General features: G+C 47.5%; 1 long non-coding RNA gene across 3 annotated transcripts, besides 1 other annotated feature; it reads left to right on the forward strand.

Moving 5' to 3' along the window:
• The first annotated feature begins 2,045 nt into the window (after nucleotides 1–2,045).
• LOC105376828 (uncharacterized) lies at nucleotides 2,046–4,949 on the forward strand. 3 transcript variants are annotated; one of them, XR_001737788.2, is made up of 3 exons: nucleotides 2,046–2,550; nucleotides 3,302–4,145; nucleotides 4,731–4,949. It is a non-coding gene; the product is annotated as an uncharacterized LOC105376828 (long non-coding RNA). The 3 variants fall into 3 exon arrangements; XR_001737786.1 differs by having other exon boundaries at nucleotides 3,302–4,051; XR_001737787.1 differs by having other exon boundaries at nucleotides 2,046–2,256; nucleotides 3,302–4,051.
• Nucleotides 9,093–9,634: an enhancer, noted in NCBI's record as "NANOG hESC enhancer chr1:20605144-20605685 (GRCh37/hg19 assembly coordinates)". NCBI's record gives its function as "activates a minimal SCP1, AML or CMV promoter by ChIP-STARR-seq in naive H9 embryonic stem cells {active_cell/tissue: H9 hESC(naive)}" and the evidence as "EXISTENCE:reporter gene assay evidence [ECO:0000049][PMID:30033119]".

The following is a 9,949-nucleotide window of genomic DNA, read 5'->3' on the forward strand; positions in this document are numbered from 1 at the left end:
AGTGAGAAGGTGGCCATCTGAAAGCTAGAAAGAGAGGCTTCATCAGAAATGAATTCTGCCAGCACCTGGATCTTGGACTTCCGGTCCTGCGAGTGGTAAGAAAATAAATTTGTGTTTTAAGCCACCCAGATTTTGTGATACCCTGTTATGGTAGCCCAAGCAGGCTAATGCACCTCCAATTTTTAATGGGTGGAATCTCTCAAGGATTAATCCTGGCCCCTTTCTTCATCCCACACTTTAGTACTGGTATATCTACCCCAGGACTTAGATGTCACCTATATGTTGGCAACTGTAAAATATAGCTTAAACATGGCCACTTCTCTCCAGCCCTGTTGCCATCACCTTAATTCAAGCCAATCTTATCTCTTGCCTAGTATATCAGTCAGCTAATGCTATGATAATGTTGCATAACAAATACCTCCCCCCCACAACACACAAATCCCATTGACCTGCCACAACAAACATTTATTATTCTTGCCAATAGGTTTGTGGGTCATTTCGGAAAGTTCTCTGGGCTACAGGTCAGATTCTGATCTTCTCTGTAGGTCTCCTCATTCTCTGTGAACCAGCAGCTACCCAAGGCATGTCTTTCTCATGGCAGGTGGCAGATGCATAAAAGAGCGAGCCAAACCATGCAAATGCTTTTAAAGTCTCTTCTGTGTTCCATCCACTAACATTCTAACATTTAACTAATGTTAAAGCAAGTCACATAGCTAAGCCTAAAGACTAGGGGGCAGAAAAATATATTCCTCCCATGGAAAGGAAGCCATGACAAGAGGCAGGAAAGGAGGAAGAAACAAAGACAAATAATACAGTCTACCACACCTGGGCTGCTATAATAGCCTCTATTATGGGCATCCCTCCCCAAACCACCAGAAGAGCCACCTTTTAAGATAAAAATTGGATCAAGTTGCTTTTCTGCTTAAAACCTCTTGGTGGCTTCCCATTGCTCATGGAAAAAATTCCAAATTCTTACTGCTGCCTGCAAGGTTCTGCATGGCCTGGCCCCTGCCTCCTGCTTACACCGTTCACCCACTATTCACTCTACCCCAGCCACACTGGTCCTCTTTTAATTCCTTGAACTCACCCACCTTAGGAAAGGTACTCTCCCTAGAAGTCCATCTCCATCTTTCCTCTCTGATATGGTTTGGCTGTGTCCCCACCCAAATGTTATCTCGAATTGTAGCTCCCATAATCCCCATGTGTTGTGGGAGGACCCCGTGGGAAGTAATTGAATCATGGAGGCAGCTTTTTCCTGGGCTGTTCCCATGATAGTGAACAAGTCTCACAAGATCTGGTGGTTTCATAAAGGGCAGTTCCCCTGCACACTCTCTCTTGCCTGCCACCATGTAAGATGTGCCTTTGCTCTTCCTTCACCTTCCACCATGATTGTGAGGCCTCCCCAGCCATGTGGAACTGTGAGCCCATTAAATCTGTTTTTCTTTGTAAATTACGCAGTCTCAGGTATGTCCTAATAGCAGTGTGAGAACGAACTAATACACTCTCCCTTCCTGGAAAACTTCTAGTGCTTCAAGTCTCTATTGAGTTGTCATTTCTTCGGGGAGGACTTGCTTGCCCCTTTCCCACCCTGATACCTTGTATCTTCCTCTTATACATTCTCCTCACTTCCTGTTAGGGTTTTAATTGTGTCCCCCCAAATTCATATGTTGAAATCCTAACCCTCAGTACCTCAGAATATGACTATATTTGGAGAGAGGTTCTTAAAGAGATGATTAAGTTAAAATAAGGTCATTAGGGTAAGCCCTAATCCAATATGGCTGGTGTCTGTAAAAGAAGAGGAGATTGGGACACATACACACACAGAGGGAAGACCATGTGAAGATAAAAGGAGGAGGGAGCCATGTGCAAGCCAAGGAGAGAGGCCTCAGAAGAAACCAATCCTGCTGACACCTTGATCTTGGACTTCCAGCCTCCAGAATTGTGAGAAAATAAATTTATTTTGTTTCAGCTACCGCATCTATGGTATTCCATTATGGCAGCCCAAGTAAACTTTTATACTTCTGATACACTTCTTGACTGCATGAATCACAAAGGTAATCACATGTTTATGATGTAATTTCTTTTACATGCCTGTCTCTCCCACTAGATGGTGCAACCACACAGAGACGTCATCTGATTTACCTAGCGTGGTGCTTGGCACATAGTAGGTGCTCAAAAAATTACTTGAATGAATGAATGAATAAATGTGCTTCATCTTAGTTGACAAAGCAACGGGAGAGGCTGGAGATGGACTTGGTACGGATCCACCCTGCAACTTCCCTTGAGGCATCCACCCTTTCCTCGTTCCTCACAACCCTTCCAAAGCAAAGCTGTTCAACTGTGAGATTTGCAATTTGATTTACTCCTGAGTGACATCATAGCCATTACCATGGCAACACCCAGCGATGCCTGTCTGCCAGACAAAGTCTCTCCCATCAGCAAAGGGCAGATGGACACCCAGGATGGAAAGGAGCCATTTGTGAGGCACAAGCATCAGCCTTTGCTGCCCTGCAGCCAGGGGCTGATGGAGCTGGTGCTGGTATATCAGGGGTGGGTGCCCCTGCGGGGTGGAAGCCTCAAAATCCTTCCTTGCCACGGAAGAACTCTTTATCTCTAAGACAGGCCAGCTGCAGCCAAAAGCAAAATTACGCCAGTGGGGGCCAAGTATAACACAGGCAACTCTGGCTGGCTTATCTGTGTAATCCTCCCTTCGGCCCTCAAAACACTTGAGCAGTAGACAAAGCCATTGTTTTCCTGTCTGACTATCTCTCTCTTTCCCTTCCTGATTTCTTACTTTCCCTCCTGCTGCCTTTCTGTCCTCTCTTTCTCTTACCCTACCTCACTACCATCTTCTCTCTGTTTTTGTCAACAGTTGTCACAAACCTGAAGTGTGTCAGACCCTGTCTTGGACAGACGTGGAGTATTAACTGGTGTCTAGGATGGGTCTCTCTCTTATGGAAAAAGGAGTAAAGCCCCACCCTTTCCTTTTGGGAGGAGGTCTTAGGTTGCAGCTTGTGGGTGAGGGGCATTGAAGAGGAAAGAAATGTTGCTGGTATGATGAGTAAAACCTCAGAACACATTTCTTATAGCAACAGAATTATAAACAAGAGTTGGTTGTAGTTAAAATACTACTGGTATCTCTCCAAGTAGTTAGGGATCAAATAAGATTTTATGGATCAGTCTGGAAATCCAACCAGCATCTTAGGTGAAAGGATCCTGATTCTAAACTTTTAGACACTATCTCACATGCACTGAGAGCTGTATCTAGTGTTCTCCCATTTCCTCTCTCTGTGCTTCTCAGGGCCACTTAGACTTCCTTCATCCCCAGAATCAAAGGGACCAGAAACTTAGAAGATGTCACAATTTTATCTGCTACTGACCCTGCAGGCAGGGCTGCCTGGTGGTGAAACAATATGGTATGTAACAGAGTCGAGACAGGTTTGTGTAGGATGGATGCAGGCTCCAACCCTGTGCTGCACTGCCTGGCTGCCCGATCTCCCTCAACGAGCCTCAGTTTTTCACCTGTAAAGTGGGGATAATGCGTCCACATCTCAGGATCATTGTGAAGAGTGAGGACATCACATATAAAAAAACTGGCCCACAGAAAGCATGGAGTAAATGCCAGCTGTTACAGCAGCTTCTGTAGGAAGGCAGAGCCTGCCTTGCAGCCACTCCACTGGCAAACGTGTCAATAGGAAGAGTGAGAAGTGAGCAGTGCCTCCTGAGCTGATGCCTACAGAGGAGCTGTGACAATCTGCCTCTAGAACAACCTCAGCAAGCTGCCTGGCCCAGGGGAAATCCAACCGTGGTGACTTTGCCCAGATTCTGCAAGATGCTTTCTAATTGTTGGTGTTCACGAGGGACAAGCAACAGCTGAGCTCATTCCCTTCCTATCAATTTGCAACATCTGCCCCAGCCCTTACTGACAGTAGAGAAAAATAAGGACTTTCCGATCACACCTTTAGGCCACCAATCTTCAATGAGTTACTGGGCCCTTCCAGAAATCAGATTTTCTAACTGGTCCCTGCATTGGCTCCAGCAGCTTTGGAGTGTGAGTGCTGTCTCTTTGGAGAGATTGTGGGCTCCTTGAGGGCTCTGCCTTTTTGTTCTGTGTAGCCCCAGCACATAGTAGGGGAAGTCACACAGTAGGTATTAATAAATATTGGGTGGATGGATGGATGGATGGATGGATGGATGGATGGATGGATGGATAAATGGGTGGATGAATGGGTGGGTGGATGGATGGATGGATGGATGGATGGATGGATGGATAGATCAATGGGTGGGTGGGTGTATGGAAGGGTGGATGGATGGATGAATAAATGGATAGATGAATGGGTGGGTGAATGGATGGGTGGATGGGTGTGTGGGTGGATGGATGGATGGATGGATGGATGGATGGATGGATGAATGGATGGATAGATCAATGGGTGGTTGGGTGTATGGATGGGTGTATGGATGGATGGATGGATGGATGGATGGATGGATAAATGGATAGATGAATGGGTGTGTGGGTGGGTGAATGCATTGGTGGATGGGTGTGTGGGTGGATGGATGGATAAATGGATAGATTAATGGATGGATGCATGGATGGGTGAATGGATGGATGGATGGGTGGATTGGATGGATAGGTGGATGGGTGCATGGGTGGATGGGTGAATGGATGGATGGATGGGTGGGTGGATGAGTGAAGTACAATGACTGAAGTAAGAATTGCCTCCTTTCCATAGGGAAATCCAAAAGCATGGGAAGACCCTGGGCCGAGGGAGCAGAGGCTGAAACTCTGGGAAAAGCTGTGAGGACCACAAAAGTGGTTGGGCCCCTAATGGCCTCAAGACCCGGGGCAAGTCATTTCTTGTACCCATACAAGGCGTACTTCATAGAGGCGGGTTGGTGGGCTCGGGTCTCAGTGCAGCCTTTTGCATTGTAGATGAGGGCTTGGGCCTCCATTTCCTCTCCATGGCAGGGGCATAATTATGACAACTCCCTTGTGAGATTCTTGTAAAGTCTTTATTGAGATAATGCTAGCTAAGCAGTTCACAGAGTCTGATGTTTATGCATACTCATGATATAGTCAGAATATATTCATGTTATTTATAACACACAAACATTTATAACACATAAACTATTAATATAATTGTCCAAGGCAGAGGAATCTCTAGAGAGGGCAGCTACAGAGAGAGGGAGAAGTTTGCCTTTATTTAGTCACATTGTTTTCTGATTTCTTCCCTCCCCAGGTACAACAAACCCCACAGGAGGCCCAATGACACCCCCTGTCCTAACTCAGCTCAGGAAGAGGCAGCTGCCATGGTTTAAAGAATGTGGGTTTTTAGGGTAGATAGACCCCACATCTGCTCCATACCTTGCTGCATGAGTTATTTCCCTTCTCTGAGCCTTAGTTTCCTCATTACAAAAATGTAAATAAAAATATCTTCTTTACATGATCATTGTTACTAGGATGAGATGAATTTATGTATTTTTAAGAACGTGGGCCGGGCGCAGTGGCTCACGCCTGTAATCCCAGCACTTTGGGAGGCCGAGGTGGGCAGATCAGGAGGTCAGGAGATAGAGACCATCCTGGCTAACACAGTGAAACCCCGTCTCTACTAAAAATACAAAAAAATTAGCCAGATGTGGTGGCGGGCACCTGTAGTCCCAGCTACTAGGGAGGCTGAGGCAGGAGAATGGCGTGAACCTGGGAGGCGGAGCTTGCAGTGAGCCGAGATCACGCCACTGCACTCCAACCTGGGCGACAGAGCGAGACCCCATCTCAAAAAAAAGACAAAAAAAAAAAAGAACCTGGACTGGGTAGATATTCCCATCAATTCTCTCCCTCCCCTAAAGAGGCAGGGTAGATATAAATCGGGAGTTAGTCCAAGTACAGGAGAGAGATGGTCAACCAGGGGCAGAGCCATCAGGAAAAACTCTGCTCCCAGTCAGCTCTGAAAGGATAAGGCAGAGCATTCCTGGCAGAGAGCAGTATCTGGAAGTAAATCCAATGTTCCAGAAGCTGAGGGGAGGAGGGGAAGAGGGAAGGAAGGAAGGAGAGGCAGGTGTGGAAGTTGCAACCGCAATGACAGAGCTCTGCATTTCAGGCAGAGGGAAGGAAGACACAGAACAGCTTGTAATCGTGGAGGACATGATCAGAGCTGGAGTTCTGAATGGGAAACTGCTGGCCACGTGCGAGGCGGCTAACAGATGGAAAATAACAGAGGCCATGCGTCTAGTGTGGAGGAGATGAGGGGGCCTGAGCCAAGGCAGTGGCAGTGAGGAAGGGAGACTGGGGAATGGATTTTAAAAATCATTTGAAAATATCCATTGAGCACTTTCCCCCAACCTCTGACCACTCCATATCCACTCCAATCCCTCCCTCCAAAGTTTCACTCTGCAGCCAAGTGATCATTTTAAAGCAGATCTCATCACATCTCCCCTGCTTACCAGTTCTCTGATGGCTTCTGAATTCCTTTGAGATAAAAGCCCATGTTCGTTAGACCCCACAGGGTCTGGTGGTCAGCCTGTCCCATGCTGCTCCTTGCTCTTCGCTGCTCCAGCCTGTGTGTTCCCCCAGCACAGGGCCTTTGCACGGGCTGTTCCCTTTCCTGGGAGGCTCTTCCTTCTCCTCCTCCTCTGGTTAACACTCACTCATTGAGATCTCAATTCAAGTAGATGTCCCGACCTCCCTGATTAGCTCAAATTCCCCTAGGATAGGCAAGCACCCTGTAGCTCTCTTGATGGCATTTGTCATCCCAGTTGTTTTTGTACTAACTGATGGCTCCCTCCTCCACTAAAATGTAAGCTCCATGAGGGTCAGCACTGTGTGTTTCTTATCTCATTGTATCCGCAGGGCTTGGCAAATAGACGTGCTCAATAAACATGGGTTGAATGCTTGAGTGAAAGCATGAGCACGCACTGCATGACAGGTACTGTGCTAGGCATGGTGGGAGGCATTGACAGGCAGGGACTCATTCAGGAGCAGAGAACCAGCCGCCCTAGAAGAGAGCTGTCCTTCTGACCCCCTGTTCCCATTTCCCACTGGCTCCTGTCCAGCGTTCAAAGGGCCAGAGCATCTCACAGGGCCAGCATCCCCTTGGCAATGTTGCCACCAGTCAGGCATGATTTGATGCTTATCGGGACCATGCTGGCTGGGCCCAGCCTTGGAAGAGCTAAGGCGGATGCCATGGCAACGACCTAGCTCCTCAGAGGCCCTGGCTTGCTCCTAGGGCTATCAAATCAGGCTTCTCCATTCTCTGGGGACTCCACCCAGCATCCAAGGTCACAGCGACAAACGTCTGAGGGAGAAAAACCACCTTCAAATTTACTCGGAATACATCATTGCAATCAATTTCCTCTGAGAGCCCAGGGGAACCACAGATCAATTAGCCCAGCCCATAGGTCTGTCCACAAGTCCATAGTGACTGTCACCATGGGGACCTGAGTCTCCTAGGTGGAGACAGAGAAGTCACATCTTACAGCAGGTCGTGGAAAGCTCCATGCAGCAAGCAAGAGGCAGTAATATGGTACTTAGGAGAGAGGCAGGCGTCCTAGGCTCGAATCTTGGCTCTGCCTCCTACTTCCCTTCACCTCTCCGCATCCAGTGTCCTCACTTACAAAATGAGGATCATCATAAAGACTTATCTTCTGAGGCTCTTGTGAGGACCAGATCTGCTAATAAGTGAAAATTTCCCGGGCCACCGAGAGTGTACAACAAATCACAGCTGCCTTCATTGGTATCACTGTTGAGAATCCACAAACAGGACCTTATAGAGAGGTGTTGCTAGTTCTTCTCTGTAGATGCTTAAATTGGATTAGCCACCTTTGGAAAATGATGTGCCAAGGTCCTGGTTCTTTTGGTAGGGCTGAGACCAAGGGTTACCTGTCTGGATGTTGAAAGGTATGGCTTTCCTGGCCTGAGAGAGGATGGTTTATCTGAAATGAACTAAATTTCTTAAGTCTTGTGCAATGAAGATGGAGGAAGATTTCTGTGTCAACTCTGTGTGGGGTGGGGGAAGAGGCAGCTTGGCCTGTACCAGGCCCTGTGCTGAGCCCTTGACCTACCTAATCTCTTCTGTCTTCACAACAGCCCCATGAGGCAGGTATCGCCATCCTACTTTATAGAGGAGGATATTGAGTTCCGGTAACTTGCCCATGGTCCATCACGTAATGAGTTCATATATTCTCACAAATACAACTGAGAAGACACAGGGGTAGCTGCTAGCCCACATGCCGTGAAAACCACCATGGGCCATCTTTGGCCAGGAAGCCACCAGTCCCAGTCTCTCCCTGGACTCTTCCCCAACCCAAATACCAATGTTTTTTGATAAGGATGAGGATTGCATGATTGCATTTGCTTGGACGATGGTCCTGGCTGGACCCTGGGCTCTTTTGCCAGCATGTGCTAGTTTCCTCCAATTCCATAGCCGGGACTAAGGACCCAGAGCAGACAGGTGCTCCCCTGGAGGATGTCTGTGAGTTAAATAGGCGAACAGACATCCCTCAGCTCCTAAGCACTATCCCCTCCTTTTTCTCTTTGAAAAGGACTCAGCACAGGCCAGAAGCCATTTTCATTTATGCTTTTTGCCCATGTTACACAGGCCATGGAATGTCTGCAAAAGTAAGGAGCAAAGAAGCAGTTGTGAGAGATGATTTTTTTCACACGCTGTCTCCAGAAGCCCTTGTGAGAGATGATTCTGTTCATGTGTTTTCTTTTCTTTTTCTTTTTTTCTTTTTTTTGAGATGGAGTTTCACTCTGTTGCCCAGGCTGGAGTGCAGTGGTGTGATCTTGGCTCGCTGCAACCTCCGCCTCCCGAGTTCAAGCAATCCTCTGCCTCAGGTGTTTTCTCCAGAATTAAGTCATATTGTTGCAGTAAAGGCCTTCTGCCTCTATCAGAACCAACTTTAGAAGCGAGTGCTGATCCTGACTTCCCGTGTGAGGATGCAAGACTGATAGGAACACAGACACGCTTACTAAATCAAAACTCGACTTTGATTTACTACTGAGAGCAAAGGGCCATAATGAAGGTGTCTTAGTCCATTTTGTGTTGCTATAAAGGAATATCTGGGACTGGGTAACTTATAAAGAGAATAAGGTTTATTTGGCTCATGATTCTGATGGTTGGAAACTTCACAATTGGGCATCTGCCTCTGGTGGGGGACTTGGGCTGCTTCCACTCATGGCAGAGGGTGAAGGAGAGCTGGTGTGTGCAGAGATCACATCTCAAAAGGGGAAGCAAGAGAGAGATGGGGGAGGTGTCAGGCTTTTTTCAACAACCAGCTCTCTTGGGAACTAATAGAACAAGAACTCACTCACCCCCGGAGAGAAGGCGTTAATCTATTCATGAGGGATCCACCCCATGACCCAAACACCTCCCATTAAGCCCCACCTCCAACATTGGGGATCAAATTTCAACATGAGATTTGAAGGGGACAAATACCCAAACCACAGCAGAAGCTGAGCAACCATTAGCAAGTTGTCATTAACGTGAATACACAAAACCCACAGGCCTGGGGCTGCCGCCAGCTGGGTAGGGCCTCAGATGCCTACAAAATCCCTTCCTTTGAGTATTTCTGGAGGTCCAAGAGTGGGGAAGGGCTTGTCCTGCACATACCCTCAAACAAGTCCATGCTAGCTGGACAGCACCACACCATCGTGGTTGTCTGCGCAGGGCTGCGTCTAGTTTTTGTGGATGCTCAAACTACTGTCTAGGATACGATGCTATAGTTTAGTGTTCTCCAAGATGAAGCCTCAAGATGTCAAAGTGGCCTCTCTTCCCATTCTATCCTCCCCATGTGGGAGCCATACTGGGGTCCGTGCGGGTTGGGAAGAATTTGTTCATGCAACAACTATTTATTGAGCATCCACTATGTACCAGGCACTGGGATAAGGTGGTCAGGGAGGACCTCTGTGAGGAGGTAACATTTATGCTGAAGCCTAAAAGTCATTCATGCAAAA

The sequence above is a fragment of the Homo sapiens genome, chromosome 1 (assembly GCF_000001405.40).
Source record: "Homo sapiens chromosome 1, GRCh38.p14 Primary Assembly".
In the NCBI taxonomy this organism is placed as follows: Eukaryota; Metazoa; Chordata; class Mammalia; order Primates; family Hominidae; genus Homo; species Homo sapiens.